The following is a 16,192-nucleotide window of genomic DNA, read 5'->3' as shown; positions in this document are numbered from 1 at the left end:
TGCAGCCCCTTAGTGTAACCCCTGAGCAAAGTGAGGCCTGGGAAGAAGTCGTGAGCCTGGATCACAGGGCTGGACTTTCTATCCCTGATTGCTCCTGTTTTTAGGTTAACATGATCTAAGAGACCACCTGTGACAAGACAACCTGAGCTTCATCTGTCAATGCAAAGTCTGTATCTGCACACCCAAAATGAAGCAAAGTCTGTATCTGCAAACCCAAAATGAAGCAAATTCTGTATCTGCACGCCCAAAATGAAGCAAAGTCTGTATCTGCACGCCCAAAATGAGGTGGCAAACATTAGCCATTGCAGACCACTCAGCGAGAAAACCTCCTCTGTTCCAAATATCTGGATACAGTCCTGATTGTAAATTGGAGAGTGACTTTACTATTTTGACTATCTGGTATTTTTGCTTTTCTCTGCTAAATTCGATGACTTTTTTGAAGATTATTTTTATTCGATCATATCACTTGGGTACAGATCTGCAGTGTTTTTCTAAGCACAAATTTCCATACCAACAAAAAATCTTAAAAAGGAGCAGAAATGGAGAATGGATTAACTTACCTTTTATTCTATCCCTACTCCCTATAGACTCTCTCACGAGGCTGGGGCTTTTGTTTTTCTTCTCTTCTAATTTCTATTAAGACAAGGACACATGGACTGACATGCAATCTCCAGGTTACTTGAAGCACGGCTGTGGGAGATGCATCCCAAATTGGGATTTTTCTGTGCATGGCCACGTTCAAGGGTGCAAAAGGCAGGAGCCACTCAGAGAGTGTAGCTTGGGAGGGCTTTGTGTCACTGTCCAGGTGAGATTTCTCACTCTCAGCGTCTCACCTGGTTGAAAATGTTCATCACGGTAACAGCAGACCCTTCAAGTCTGTGTCACTCTTACAGCAAAGATGCTGTGTTGAATTTTCATGGCAAAAGCAACTGCAATTTTAGGCCACTGTAAAACATCTTTTGTTTTGTGCTGAGCCATGGAGAGTGAGAACTTAAGCAATAAACACTCGGCATCTGCCGTCCTTCCAAAGCCTCTTTCACATTGACTTACTTCCGTCAATCCATTCAGAACAGTGTCATACAAAAGTGATTTTCAGGCTGGGCACGGTGGTTCACACATGTAATCCCAGCACTTTGGGAGGCCAAGGCGGGTGGATCACTTGAAGTCAGGAGTTCAAGACCAGTTTGCCCAACATGGTGAAATCCCATCTCTACAAAAATAAAAAAATTAGCCCGGTGTGGTAGTGGGTGCCTGTAATCCCAGTTACTTGGGAGGCTGAGGTGGGAGAATTGCTTTAACCCAGGAGGCGGAGGTTGCAGTGAGCCGAGATCATGCCACCGCACCTTGCACTCCAGCCTAGGTGACAGAGCGAGACTCCGTCTAAAAAAAAAAAAAATGAATGCCAGGCACAGTGGCTCACGCCTGTAATCCCACTTTGGGAGGCCGAGGTGGGCGTATCACAAGGTCAGGAGTTCCAGACCAGACTGACCAACGTGGGGAAACCCCGTCTCTACTAAAAACACAAAAATTAGCTGGGCGTGGTGGCAAACACCTGTAATCCCAGCTACTCAGGAGGCTGAGGCAGGAGAATCGCTTGAACCTAGGAGGCGGAGGTTGCAGTGAGCTGAGATCACGCCACTGCACTCCAGCCTGGGCGACGGAGCAAGACTCTGTCTCAAAAAAAAAGTGATTTTCATCATCCCCCTCAGAGATTATTGGAGGGGACAACATCTCATTAATTTTTTACAATCTTATAATCAATTTTTAATTAATGAGACGATGAAAAACAGACTTTACAGAAAAAGAAAAATCACTCATGTAGTTGCAGCTACAGCCAATGTGTTTGAGACTAGGAGCTTTGGAATTGGGTATCTGTGTTCAAATCCTGACTCCACCATGTCCCTGCCGTGTGAGTCCGGGGACATCACTCACCTGAGGACGTCACTCACATGACAGTGTCACTTACCTGAGAGGCCACTATCTGGGGAGGTCATTGACCTTCTCTGAACCAGTTTTACTCAGTTTTAAGGATTATTATGAAGGTTCAAAGTCAAAATATATTATTAAGGTCTTGCTTCTTGAAGTGTGGTCTGCAAACCAGCAGCCATCACCTAGATGATTGCTAAAAATTACGGAATTTCAGGGCCCATCCAGGTCCTACTGAATAGAAATCTCAATTTTAACAAACCCCCCAGGTGGTTTGTGAGCACATTAACGTGTGAGAAGCATTGTCTTCAAGCACGTCCTTGCCGTTAGGTGCACAGCAGGGCCTCAACTTAGCCTCCTGATTGGTGTACCTCTTATCACATTATACTATTTCTTACTTAACAAAATGCATTTCATGCTGTTTTACAGTTTTCACTTGAGTTCATACTACTTCCTGGTCTACATGGAGCTATTCTGAATGTCTGTGTAATAGTCTACTGAATCATTATATCGTGCTTTCTTCTCCCATTTCCCCATCTTGATCGTTCCCAGCATTTTGCTGTTAGAAAATAGCACCTTACTGAGGCAGGAGACTCTCTTGAATCCGGGAGGCGGAAGTTGCAGTGAGCCAAGTTTGCACCATTACACTCTAGCCTGGGCAACAAGAGTGAAACTCTGTTTCAAAAAAAAAAAAAAAGAAGAAGAAAAGAAAAAAGAAAAAGAAAAAGAAAATAGCACCTTAGTGAGCACCCTTTTATGTAGAGATTTCCAGAGACAGGGAAGAAGGAGGAACAGGAAAAGAGAAAAAAGGAAAAAAAGAAAAAGAAAAGCATATATCTGTCTCTTTAAAGTCAGGAGTGTTGAACGTCCCCTTTAATCTCATTGTAAACTAAGGGAGAAAACCATGCCCCTGGCTGCATCCACTGGGTAGTGATGGGGGTACAGAGACAATTACCTCACTGAGTCACAGCACAGAGCTTCAGGGATGCAGGATGCAACCAGGGCAGAGGTGTCAGCCACACCTCCATGGCACCGATGCCTCATAATCACCTTATGGAAAAATTATTTTGAAATTGGCTTACCTGCTCAGGAACTGAAACTGGAGAGAAACCCGGATTATAGGGGGACACTTGTATTGAAGGGCCTCCTCGTGAGTGGTCTCTGCACATACAAATCACCTTGCTGCTCAGGAGTTCAAAGCCCTGGCCTGGCACTTATTTCACAGGCTTGCAGGAGCTGACATCCTTATGCATTAATGGGCAGCTCAATTGCAGGGAACCCTGGTGACAAGTGACTTCCTCGCCACACTTGGAAACGGAGCCCCGCCTAGCCTCTCCCATGGCCTGTCCAGAAAGTTAAAGGCAGGCAGCACTTGAGCTCTGGTCTCCCGTCCCCACAGCCTTCACTGTTCCCCCAACGCAGGTGCCTCTGGCCCTGAGCCACTTCTCCAGTGGCCAGCCATGGCACTTCTCCCTCTCCAGAGCCATGGCCTGTTTTACATGAGATAAAAATCTGCAGACAAAAGCTCTTGCTGCCCAGAGCATGCGTTCTAGAACTCAGATAAATAAATGAGCAAGAAACCGAGCGTGTGCAAGGGTAGCCATGCTGTGGGGAAAAGAAGGGAGGGAGGATAGTAAGGGGACCCCAGGCTCAGGGAGTAGGAGGGGGGCAAGGGGATCAGGAAGAGTTGGGGGGTTCCTCATGCCTCAGAGCTGGGGGAGATTGGAGTGGGGATGAGGGAGGACTTGGGTCCTGGGCCTCTTGGCTGCTGACATGACCAGGGATAGAGGGGAGATGAGAACAGGCTGCCAGGTTCCAGGTAGGTGATGGCAGAGCCACGGCTGTAAGCGGACAAGGGAGCTGGGTCTCACAGGGGCCCAGAGCTCTGGGCATCTCTTCTGTCCCACCTCTGGGGCTGAGCCTGGAGGAGCCTGGTCCGCAGCATGTTCCATGTTGTCACTGCCCCTGTGGAGTTTCAGGAACCCCAAGGGCTGCCCAGGGGCCAAAGCATCTCCTGTGACCTCCCCCCTCCCAGCAGAGGGAGAAGCTGGGACCCCCCTCTTTTGGAACACTCCTTCCAGAGGCAGCTGCAGGTGGATTCTCATCTGACAAGAGACAGCATCACTCAGAACCCCTAGAAAGGCCATTGATTAAATGCCACAGAGCACAGCAGTGATGAGGTCTGCAGAAGGCAGCACATAGCCAGAGGCGGGGCCAGGTGATGGATGGCCCCTGCTTTCAGAAACCCCCCCGGGCCCCACTGCTCCCTGCCCTTGGGCAGGTCGCTCTGGAGTTTAAGAGTCATTAAGAGAAGCAGTTCCTTTTTATAACCAGTTCTCTTTCCTCTCTCAGGTGGTTCTGGAATAAAAACATCATAAAAGCGATGTCAGGTCACAAGGAAGAAGCTGCCTCAGGTGAATCTGGCTTCAGAGATGGGGACCCCTGAAGTGAAGCAGGAAGTGAAGGATGCCTTTAGCTGGATTGAAATGCAGGAGAGGAAAATACTGCACAGGCTGGCCTCCCTGTGCCTGGGGATGAAGAGGTCTCCTTCCCATCCAGGGATACTCAGAGCCCTCATCAGGGTCCCTCAGTGACTCCATCAGGCCTGAAAACATCCTCTGGGATAGACAGAGAATTAAAAAACAGAGATTCATCCAAAGCTCTTTGGAATTTAATAATAAAGGAGATAAACAGGCAAGGGGGGCAGGCGCGGTGGCTCATGCCTGTAATCCCAGCACTTTGGGAGGCCGAGGCAGGAGGATCACTTGAGGCCAGGAGTTTGAGACCAGTCTAAGCAACATGGTGAAACCCCATCTCTACTAAAAACACAAAAATTAGCCAGGTGTGGTGGTGCAGGCCTGTAATCCCAGCTACTTGGAAGTCTGCACCATGAGAATCACTTGAACCCAGGAACTGGAGGTTGTGGTGAGCTGAGATCACGCCACTGCATTCCAGCCTGGGCAAAAGAGTGAGTGAAACTCTATCTCAAAAATAAATAAATAAACAAATAAATAAATAAATAGAATAAACAGCCAAAGTTTCCCGTGTCCTGAGGGCCAGTACGTGGTCGTCATGCCCCCAGGAGGGCAGGCAGCACCGTGCCAGCCATAACATGGGGCACTGCTCCATTGACCAGACATAGAAACAGTGTCCGGCCATGCCACTGTCCGGTGGAAATCCTTGGAGTCTGTTTTCACTTCTTCCTGCTGGAATGGAAGTCCAGGGACACAGCCCAGCTTCCCCCAGGCAGGCATTCTATTCTCCCCCCATTCCTTGTTTTGTTGTTGTTGTTAACATTATGATATGACTACTTGGGAAAGATGACTCACATATGCTTTGTATTTAATTCATTTATTCAGACCTATTTCATTTACATATCCACAATTTTCTGAGCAAAGTATTTGTTTATTTATGCAGTGACTTCTCTGAGCACTAGAGCTGTGAACAGACAGACCTGGCCCAGGCCCTCAGAGGGTGAACGTTCTGGTAAAGGAGGCACAATAAACAAGGAAATAAACAAGATTGGTGAAGAGGGTGAAACTGCTCTACAGGAAATAAACTGGGAATTGAAAGAGCAAAGGGAAGAAAGGCCACAGTGGATGGGGACAGCCTCTCTGAAGAGGTGGGCTTTGAGCTCAAGCTGAGCACTGAGAAGTTTCCAGCCCAGTAACGGCCATCAGGAGATCACGCCAGGTCAAGGGCACAGCAGGTGCCAAGGCCTGGAGGTAGGACTGGGCTGGACAAGTCCAGGGAACAGAGAGGACGCCAGGACTGAGGACGTAGGGAGAGCAGGTTGCAGGGATGCAGGAAGGGGTGGGGGGTGTGGATCAGGCAGAACCTCCTGGGACAGGGTGAGCCCCCTTGGGGTTCACATGGGGAGCAGTGGGAAGTGATTGGAGGAGTTTTTATGGTGGAGGTGCAGCACAGCTGGTGCACATGTCTGGACAGCCACTGACTGGCTGCTGGGAGGGAATGGAGGGAATGAAGGGTCAGGGCAAGCATGGAAACCGTGGGTCCAGGCTGAACCCAGACCTACAAGATGCAAATGTATCTTTCCTGAGCCTCAGGTCCTCATCTGTGATTGAGGGAATCATGAGCCATCCTGAGGCTGTTCTGAGGATGTAATAAGAAGGCGCCCACGGCACAGCCCAGCACATAAGGTCAGTGTCTTTCCATAACGATAACAGGCGAACCTTGACCTTCCCAGACTCATGTCCATGACTCAGGAGATAACTCAGACCAAAATAACGTGCCCTTGGGTTGCCCTATGGGTGTGCTTGTACAGACCCAGCCCATTGATCTGTCCTTCATTCATTCTGTCTCGACTGTTAGGGTTTCTTCAGGTGGTGAGAACGTGGCCCTGGTATTGGGATTGCAAATTCTAATTGACATCTCACCTGGGAACGGCAGGGCAGCTCATTAAAGTGACTCAACCCAGAACACAGCCGTTAGGGAATTTGATGGTGAAGCCTGGGAGCAAACACCTGCCTTGGTAGTTCAACAAGAATCCAGGAAATCATCTTAAAACACAGGCCAGGCACGGTGGCTCACACCTGCAATCCCAGCACTTTGGGAGGCCACGGCAGGCAAATCACGAGGTCAGGAGTTTGAGACCAGCCTGACCAACATGGTGAAACCCCATCTCTACTAAAAAAATACAAAAATTAGCTGAGCATGGTGGCACATGCCTGTAATCCCAGCTACTCAAAAGGCTGAGGCAGGAGAATTGCTTGAACCCAGGAGGCAGAGGTTGCAGTGAGCCGAGATCATACCACTGCACTCCAGCCTGGGCGACAGGAAGAAAAAAAAAAAAAAACACCTTCCTTTGCTCAGGCAATGGCTTGACAATGGCTCCTTTGAGCTCCAACACCCCATTCTGGGTTTAATTGAAACTGACACACCTTGGCAAGGATGTCCAGCGGCATCCATCTGCAGAAGGAATTGAAATGACACCATGAGGCAGCAGACTGACAAATCCTGGATGTGGGGCATCCCACAGAGCAACTGCTCCCAGGAATTCAACAAGCAGTGGCATTAAAAGTAAAATGAAGGAGAGGGGATCACTGTCAACCAAAGAGAAGTTAGAAACTTAACAACCAAATGCCGTGTGGTCCTTGTTGAATTTCTGGAAAAGCAACCAGAAAAAAATATCTGAGCAACACCTGGGGGAATTTGAACATCGGAGATGTTTAGGATATTGCAACTTTGTTAGAAAATGTCCACTTGAGGTCTGGGATTTGCTTTAAAATAATTTGGCAGAAAGAGGGGAAAGAGCTGGAAGGAAGGGGGCAAACCCTGAGAGCTGTTGAACCTGGGTGATGGGTAGATCATGATTCACTATATTCCTCTGGTTGAAATATCTATAGTGGGCCGGGCGCGGCGGCTCACGCCTGTAATCCCAGCACTTTGGGAGGCCGAGGCGGGTGGATCATGAGGTCAGGAGATCGAGACCATCCTGGCTAACACAGTGAAACCCCGTCTCTACTAAAAATACAAAAAAATTAGCCGGGCGTGGTGGTGGGCGCCTGTAGTCCCAGCTACTCGGGTGGCTGAGGCAGGAGAATGGCGTGAACCCGGGAGGCGGAGCTTGCAGTGAGCAGAGATCGCGCCACTGCACTCCAGCCTGGGCGACAGAGTGAGACTCCATCTCAAAAAAAAAAAAAAGAAAAGAAATATCTATAGTGATTGTTTAATTGTGCTCAGTCTATTTTTAAAGATTGGAGTTTTCTTGTGGAAGTGTTGTAGAATATTGCAGAACACAGCCCAGGAATTGTCATTGTATCATTTTTGCTCCCGCCCCTGTAGCCCAGTATGAACAGGGCATTTCACAAGGACGTGAGGCTGGGACTGTAAAATACCAACTCTTTTGCAGATGTGGTTCTCTCTGCAACCCCCAGCCAAGTCCTGGATGCCAGGACGGGATTTCATGTGCATACCATCTGAAGCTACCAGCTTGCTCACTACACAAGTCGACAGACTGACGTGACTCTTTGCAGCACTGAGCACAACAGCCGGGGCCTGTCAACCAGCTCACCAGCAGAGAGCCAGGGGTATTTTCAAGCAGAAATAATGGGCCACTGTGGCTTTTTAAAGAGATATGATTTATCTCTGGGACCGCATCCAGGCTAGAGCTGCTGGAGGACAATGACAGGCTCCTGGGCCAGCGAGGAGGCTTTCATACCTCGGCTTGTCTGCAGACGGAGGACAGCTGGGGCTTCGCAGGCCGAGGCACCCAGGGGTTGCCGTGATCAGCAGGGGGCACAGAGAAGCAGCCAACTCTGCACCCTGAGGAGGGTGGAGATTTAGAGAATTTCATTGGATTTGAACCACATGACGGTTCCTTGGAGGAACTGGGAGTCCAGGTGGAATCTTTGCAGACAGGGTCATGTGGTTTGGTCACCTTCATTACTCAAAAGCAGGAATCTGTGTTTGGGAAGATGTGAATTACGTACTTTTGATTGAAAACAGCTGCACACCCACAATCCCTTTAGCCAGTTAATTGGACCATGACAGGCACTCCAGATGTCTACCCACATGCCCTTTTCTTACCAACAGGACCCCGACGATCACACACTCCCTGGATGGTGCCCAGCTTCCTGGCCGCTCAGCCTGTGTGACACAGCTCTAGCCCAGTGGAGGGGGAGAACAGGCAGCTGCTGGGGATTCTGGGAAAATGTGGTCTTTTATGTAAGCTCTTTCCTGCTCTCACCTCCTCCTTCCTCCTCTCCCATCTGGAGGCAGACAGGAGGCCGAGCGTGGCAGCTCCAGCAACCACAGAAGGCCTCGAGGTAATGGCACCGCTGAAGATGGTGGCAGAAAGGCAGAAGGAGCCAGGCCCAGGGCGATATCCTGCCGCCCCACACCTGCCCTGCCTGGCCCCTTCGCCCCGGACCTGTGAATCTGGAATAAGGCAACTTCCCCCGGAGATGCCACCATGCCTGGGCTTCTGTGGCTTTGAGCTGAAAACAGCCCTGGGTGATGGAGAGAGACAGTAGTGGTCACCCTACCCAGCAACCACCTACCTGCACAGGTATAAATTTCAGGTCAGCTGAATCCCACAAAGCTAAATCCAGAATTTATGAACCTTCTTCCACACCAACCATACCAACCATCCTATTCCTTCAAGATTCTTTGAATGTGTGGCTGGGCTGTCCTATGAGTGCCGTTAGAGGAGGGAACAGGTCTTGCTGCATCCTCCTGCCTCCGCTTCCCCTTCTGTACAACAGAACCTGATTAGCATTTGAGGATTCACCCTCCCCACTCGATCCATGTGTCTAGGGTGAGCTGACCCTGAACCTCAGGTCCCAGGGTGGACACGGGAGCTGGACCTAGCCCAGCCAGCACCACTTGCCCTGGACAGCGATGGGCTCAGTGAACGAAGGACCTAAGCTGACCGTTTAGGGTGACTCTCGTGGCCTTTGTGGGATCCGCTCTTGTCGCTGGATTTGAACCTGAGAGTGTGAGGCTAGAGCTTCGGTGGGCAGCTAGCACCAGGCAGGGGCACCTGGAGGCTGCTGGGCCTCCTCCTGCTGAGGAGCCATGACCATGGCAGTGGGTGGACACGTGGAGGCCAGGGGCTCCAGGGGACAGTGTCCAGGGGTCAGACCCAGCTTGCCTGAAGATCGAGCAGAAGTGGTCAAGCCTATTAATGCACTCTCCGCTGAGCCACCGGAGTCATCAGGTCTTCTGTCACTTGCCCTGAGAGAATCCTGCAGCTATTAGGGCTGAAACTTCACCGGCCCTTGGGAAACCTCCAGCCCGCCCAGAAACCAAGAGAACATTTCCGCCTGCTGAGTTTCCCACCACAGTCGTCCTCCCTGGGCCTCACCCACCTCCATGTGGGGCCATTTCCTTTGGCTGAATTCACTGGACTGTCAGGGAACTGCAGCTGGGGTTGGCTTTGCTTGCTTCTGGGCGGGAGAACACATTTTGGTCTGTTTTAACACCTAAATGACACACATATGCCCTGCGTAATGCAGAAATGGAAAGTTCCTACGTGCAGAGGTCATCACAGGCATCTTTGTTTCTGAGATTTTGCTCAAAGAAAACAAACCCGCAGCCAGAGCCCCTTGCTGGGAGGTCAGACTCTGCTGTCGCAGCTGCTCCGAGGGCTGAAGTGCCTCATCCCTGGCCCAGGTTCCCTCGATGGCCTGGCGGCTCAGTCTCTCCGAAGGGCCTCTCCCCTCCCCCTGCTGACTCCGCTCCCCACCACCAAAGGCTCTGGCCTCCTGCGAACCTTGTTTCTGGGGATTAAAAAGGCCTCGAGGATCTTGCAGCTCTGTCTGCAGAGGCTGAAGGAGCAGCGATGTCAGTGGCTGTTTTGCTAAACTACAACCAGCCACCTCCCTGAAGGGGGTAAAATACTGTGAGCCCCAAGACAAAAGTCCACTCGTGGAGGTTCCAAAAGCAGAGAGGCGAAATGCCTCTGAAACAAACAACCTTCACAAACCACGAGTTGTCAGGTCACAATCACAGGCGGGGCTGGCCAGAGGTGGCTGTTCCTAACAGCCCCTTTGTGTTTCTGTCCGTGAAACAGACTCCATGATGGCCCCATGGCCACTTCTGTGCTTCGTTTCTTCTCTGCTTCCTGGAGGCCCCTGTCCACTTCCTGTCCTTGTGGTTGGGTCCCGTTCCCAATTCCTAGAACCCTGTGCTTTCCCTGGACCAGGGCTTCCCAGCCTTCCAGGGAGTGGGCTATAGAGCAGTGCATTCCTCTCCTTTCTGTATGTCTGAGGTTTTCTGAGCCCTGTAGTTTTTAGCTGCCCAAAGATGACACGTCTCCCCAAACTTGAGGCCTGATCCTCCCACCAAAGACGCTGTGTCCTATTACCTGCTCTCTTTTCATGTTGGCATTTATTATTTTCTGGAATTGTCTTGTTTAGTGACTTATTTACCTCCCTTAGGGTCTGACTCCTCAGACTAAATGTGAGCTCTGTGTGGTCTGAGGCTACATCTGTGTAATTCTCTTGTGTTTCCCTGGAGCCTGCAGTCATAGAGGGTGCCTGATAGGAGCTCAATCAATGTGAGGTGAAGAGATGAATGAAGGAAGGATGGAATGAATGAGTGGGGACCTCTTGGTCACAGTCCCCCTTATTGTTGCTCTTTTTTTCTTGCTACTGCCTCTCTCCAACTTGATGTTTTCTGGACTCAAAACCTTATATGTCTGTCTCGTGTTGTTGAGTACAACTTTCTGCACATGGTGAAAATATTCTGTGTCTGCACTGTCCAATATAGCAGCCGCTAGCCACATGTGACTATGGAGCACTCAAAATGTGGCTAGCGTGACTGAGGAACTGAATTTTTAAAGCTATTTAGTTTTCATTGATATAAACTGAAATAACCCCAGGTGCCCAGTGACTGCCATGGAGGACAGCACAGGTCTTGATCTTCAATGTCATTCTTAGCTGTGGCCTTCAAATCTCATCCTGTTGTCTGCCTACATCTGCTCCATCCAGACTCCCAGCTCTCACCCCACCATCAGCCTGGAGGTCACAACCTCCTGCTAGGCAGGCACCTTATTCACCTTTGGTTTAGGGGCCCACAGGGATTGGACCAGGTCTCAATTTGATTAGAGCACCTGAGGCCATTTCAGTCCAATCTTAGCTCAAAGGTTTCCCAAGAATACAGGACAAATATGAATCTCCTCCCTACAGCCTAGGGCCCCCAACAGGAGACCTCCAAAAGCTCTAAAAGTCACTGAGACAAAAAGGGGGAACTGTCATCTATCGGGCAGCACTTTTTTTTTTTTTTTGAGACAGAGACTCTCTCTGTCGCCAGGCTGGAGTGGAGTGCAGTGGCACGATCTCGGCTCACTGCAACCTCTATCAGGCAGCACTCTTGATCACAAAGGACAGAATACCCACTCAAACTTAAATGAGTGAAAACATGAATATCTTCACTCCAGAAACTTAATGTCCCGGCAGTATTTGACTACAGGCACAGCTGGATCTTGGTGCAAAATGACATCATCAGGAAGGGTTCTCTTCCATTTCTCAGGCTGGCGTCCTCCTGGGTGGGCTCCCTTCTGGGTCACACAGTTCTCATGAGGTGGCAAAGATGCCCCAGCAGATCCTGATCCTCCCATCAGCCCAGCAAGGTCAGTAGAAAAGAGAAGCCTCTTCCCCAATTCCCCAGCAGAGGTCCAGGGACTGACTCAGATCAGACAAGCTGGGCTCACGAACCCACCTCCTGATGCCATCACAGAGTATGTTTGATTGGCTGGGTCTGGGTCACTTGCCAATCTTGGAGCTGGGGAGTTGGGGGATTAAGAGTTGGGGAAGGGGGCACCAGGCACAGTGACTCATGCCTGTAATCCCAGCACTTTGGGAGGCAGAGGTGGGTGAGTTGTTTGAGCCCAGGAGTTTGAGACCAGCCTGGGTAACATGGCGAAACCCAAATTAGCTGGGCATGGTGGTGCACACTTGTAATCCCAGTTACTAGGGAGGCTGGGGTGGGAGGATCGCTTGATCCTGGGAGGTCGAGGCTACAGTGAGCCCTGATCTAGCCACTGCACTCCAGCCTGGGTGACAGAGTAAGACCCTGTCTCAAAAACAAAAAACAAAAAACAAAAAAAAACCATAGTGGAGGAAGGTTGTTTCCCACAAGGGAAGCCCGCTAAGAACTAGGAAAACAGAGAGAAACTATCCAGGTAGGTGAAACCCAGAGATGCCCCTTCAGGGTGTTCAGAAGACCTCAGCCCCAGCCCCATGTGACATGTGCTGCTCTCTTCTGCCTACAGTGTCACGAGAACTGGTTCTGTTCAAGTGGAGCCCTGAAACCCCAGAACGAGTTGACATGTCCCCACCACAGGTGAACGCAGCCCCATGCACCACGTCCATGTCCCAGGAGAACCTGCCAATTGATGGTCTGTGCCGGGGTTGAAGGTCTTGTCTGATTAAAAACTGCTGTCCACTCCTCCACACATTCTAGATTGATCAGTATCATATTCCCAGTGTCCCCAGCCTCGCCACCAAAATAGATTTAACCTAGAAAGAGAAGTGAGCTGCAGAAAATTAATCACTTTTTTATCCTCAAGGGACACCAGCGTGATGAATTTAAGCTTTGACTGGGGAAATTAGAGTCACAGAAATGGCCAAGTAGAGCCTGGAAACGTGAGTTCAGGCGGCCTGTTGTCCACAATGGCATCAAGAGGGTCCAGGAGATTGTGTCATTTCTTCTCCCTTGCCTCAGTTCCCTTATTTGCAGAATGGGGATGATGTGGTAACAGCAGTGCCTACCACTCAGGGCTGTTGCAAGAATTAAGTGAGTGTATATACTCGGCACATAGGAAGAATTAGCTACTATTTATGGAGCCTGAATGGCAATTAAACAACATTAATAACACGCATGCACAAACACATCCGCACACACACACCCACACACTGCAGACTTCCGCCAGGCGGGCCATCACCATGCTCTTCCTTAGCCCATTCCCTGACTTCTACCCAGGCGTGGGCCAGCAACTTAACGTGGTCATTTCTCTTTGCACAACTCTCTGAGTTGGCCAAGCACCTTGACATATGTCACCTTGGTCTTTGAGCCCCAGCAGTCGTGACTGATGGATATTGGAATATAGGTTCATGCCACAAAGGAAAAAAACTTGACCCAGAGAGGAGGCATCTCTCCCAAAGTCAGGTGCCTGGGAACAGCTGAATCAGGACTTGAACCCAGGACTCAGATGCCAGGCTCACCCTAGGAGTCATCAGCATCATGTGCAGCCAGCACCTCTGGGCTGGGTATCGCTGTAGGCTCTGGGGACACAGGTTCGTAAGTCAGGTCGGACACTGATTTTCCTTGGAGCTCACACACAGGTAAGGAGGGGGAGATATGTTCCCCAAGTCAACACATGCTCAAATTCATTTCAGATGGTGATGAGGGATCTTGAGAAGAGGAAATGGGGTGAGATGCTAGGAAGTGCCTTGGTGGAGAGGGCTCCTGGGGACAGGGTGGCCAGGGAAGTGCTCACCCAGGAGGTGGCACCTGGCAGAGCCCTGAAAGGTGAGAAGGGGCAGCCATGCACAGGGCTGGGGACAGCATCCAGGAGGAGAATGGTCAGTCACACAGGGTCCCTGGGTTGGGAATGAACCTGGCTGTTTGTGGCACAGAAGGAAGGTCAGTGAGTCCAGGAGAAGGGGGAGGAGGAGTGGACAGGCCCCTGGCGCCTGCACGTCTGGAAGCCAAGTTTCCAAGCATCTTCCAGGGCAGAGAAAGCTCCCTTCTGAGTAGGAGGGGCTTGCTTCACCAGCAGGAGGGGTGGGAGAGTAGGAGGGAGCCCTCATGTCCCGGCTGCAAGTCCAAGGCTGGAAAACCAGGCGGGCCTCCGTGGAGGCTGCTCCTTCCCCATCGGGCCTCCGCCATCTGGTTGGGGCATCTCAGACTGAGGAGCAGGAAGTGTGACTGTCACAGGCCAACGCCTGCTGACAAATCTCCCAGCCCAGGTGGTGGCCTGTGGTGGGCTTCCCAGTGCAAGTGGAGGCGGCTTTGGCAAGGGGCTTCTCTCCCCTTTCAATTTCCTGCTGGTTCTGCCCACATGAAACTGAGCTGGTTGGCTGGGCTTCCTTTACTCTATTTGGTTATCTTACTCTCTGAATAAAAGATGAAAAGTCAAAACATATGCATAATGCAGAATTATAACACTTGGATTTGTTTAACTTTATCTTTGCCGCTTCTCGAGTGTTCTTGCACCTAAAGCACACCATTGCATAGAAAAAGACATGCTTTGGAGAAAGTGATATGACTCCTGCTTCCAGGAATGAAAGACATTTTTCATTCAGCTGTTGACATGTGTGAGTCTGCGTATGTGTGTATATGTGTGTGTCATGTCTATGTATGAGTACTGACCATGTCTTTTATTTTCAGTATTCTGATGCTCTGACATTTCCAGGCCTTGCCGACCCTGGACAGCGTGCTCTTCCCATGCCTGCCAATTCCTAAGAGACAGGAAACAACTCATCTGGAGCATGTCTTGCAAATGAAAAACAAATCAAGAGCCCACACGCCCCAACCACCTCTTTTATTGGGCTCTCCCTCTCCAGGGCCAGGTACCAGACAACTAGGAACAGCCCCTATGTCCCAGAGCCTGCTGAAGTGACTCACACTCACAACCCTGAGCCTGGTGACTGCCTATCCATTCATTCCTCAATAAAGTCTCTTGCTCATGTCTCACTTCCTCCCTCTTCCTCTTGAAAGGAAGCGTTCCCCATGTGGCCCTGCAGAGCACGGTTCCCGGGTTCCCAGGGTTCCCCATGTGGCCCTGCAGAGCACGGTTCCCGGGTTCCCGGGTTCCCCATGTGGTCCTGCAAAGCACGGTTCCCGGGTTCCCAGGGTTCCCCATGTGGCCCTGCAGAGCACGGTTCCCGGGTTCCCAGGTTCCCCGTGTGGCCCTGCAGAGCACGGTTCCCCGGGTTCCCCGTGTGGCCCTGCAGAGCACGGTTCCCCGGGTTCCCCGTGTGGCCCTGCAGAGCACGGTTCCCCAGGTTCCCCATGTGGCCCTGCAGAGCACGGTTCCCGTGTTCCCGGGTTCCTAGGTTCCCCGTGTGGCCCCGCAGAGCACAGTTCCCGGGTTCCCAGTGTTCCCCATGTGGCCCTGCAGAGCACGGTTCCCGGGTTCCCCGTGCGGACCGCAGAGCACGGTTCCCGGGTTCCCAGGGTTCCCCGTGCGGCCCCGCAGAGCATGCCATGTCTCCCGTTTCTCGGGACCTAGAATGTAATGAATGTCTTCCCGGATGACAGTACTTTCTGTGTCTGGGGGTCTTACCATACCTGATTAAAACAAATCCCTGATGAATAGAGTGAGTCTCTGTATCCCATTCTGCGGGCATGCACACAACAAATACACACATATTCACAGAGTCCCTTATGTGTGCTCAGACATGTGAACTTTGCATCACAAAACCACTGAGTGATGTCAGAGGCGCCATGAATCATAATGGCAGCTCCTGGCCTGGTATCCAAGAGACCTCAACACGCTGCTAAGTCACTGTTCCCCGCTATGAGAACCGGTCACTCTCTTTGAGCCTCCAGTTGAAGGGAACTAAATTAATCTAGGATGACCCATATTGTGCAGCAGCTAATGACCCAGTTCACCTCTGGTTAATTTTCTGCTTCTGGGTGTCCTGGGAACGGGTGGTGTTTACTCCACTTGGGACAAACCTTTATTAATGAGCCGGAGTGTTGGCTGCTCTAGGCTGAGTGTTTTAATAGAAATCGGCCCATGGGCCAGGGCGTGCTGAAGTTGCAGAATATGAATAAGGCCATTTTCTTTACC

The 16,192-nt window shown here is 50.7% G+C and overlaps 1 long non-coding RNA gene across 6 annotated transcripts, besides 2 other annotated features; it reads right to left on the bottom strand.

The window, feature by feature from the left end:
* Positions 1-5,368: 5,368 nt before the first annotated feature.
* On the bottom strand, positions 5,369-15,802 carry LOC105372637 (uncharacterized). Of its 6 annotated transcripts, none has more exons than XR_936789.2 (7): positions 15,688-15,802; positions 14,767-14,855; positions 12,778-12,911; positions 9,759-9,872; positions 8,949-9,624; positions 8,476-8,657; positions 7,562-8,349 (listed from the first exon to the last, which is right to left on the bottom strand). It is a non-coding gene; the product is annotated as an uncharacterized LOC105372637 (long non-coding RNA). The 6 variants fall into 6 exon arrangements; XR_936793.2 differs by having other exon boundaries at positions 8,476-8,591; XR_936790.2 differs by having other exon boundaries at positions 8,476-9,141; positions 9,321-9,624.
* Positions 13,703-14,203: an enhancer, noted in NCBI's record as "H3K4me1 hESC enhancer chr20:46581153-46581653 (GRCh37/hg19 assembly coordinates)". NCBI's record gives its function as "activates a minimal SCP1, AML or CMV promoter by ChIP-STARR-seq in primed H9 embryonic stem cells {active_cell/tissue: H9 hESC(primed)}" and the evidence as "EXISTENCE:reporter gene assay evidence [ECO:0000049][PMID:30033119]".
* Positions 14,816-15,375: an enhancer, noted in NCBI's record as "H3K27ac-H3K4me1 hESC enhancer chr20:46579981-46580540 (GRCh37/hg19 assembly coordinates)". NCBI's record gives its function as "activates a minimal SCP1, AML or CMV promoter by ChIP-STARR-seq in naive H9 embryonic stem cells {active_cell/tissue: H9 hESC(naive)}" and the evidence as "EXISTENCE:reporter gene assay evidence [ECO:0000049][PMID:30033119]".
* Positions 15,803-16,192: the final 390 nt, after the last annotated feature.

This window comes from Homo sapiens, chromosome 20 (genome assembly GCF_000001405.40).
Source record: "Homo sapiens chromosome 20, GRCh38.p14 Primary Assembly".
NCBI classification, from domain to species: Eukaryota; Metazoa; Chordata; class Mammalia; order Primates; family Hominidae; genus Homo; species Homo sapiens.
The sequence above is the reverse complement of the archived record's forward strand: the minus strand, read 5'-3'. Positions and strand labels throughout refer to the sequence as shown.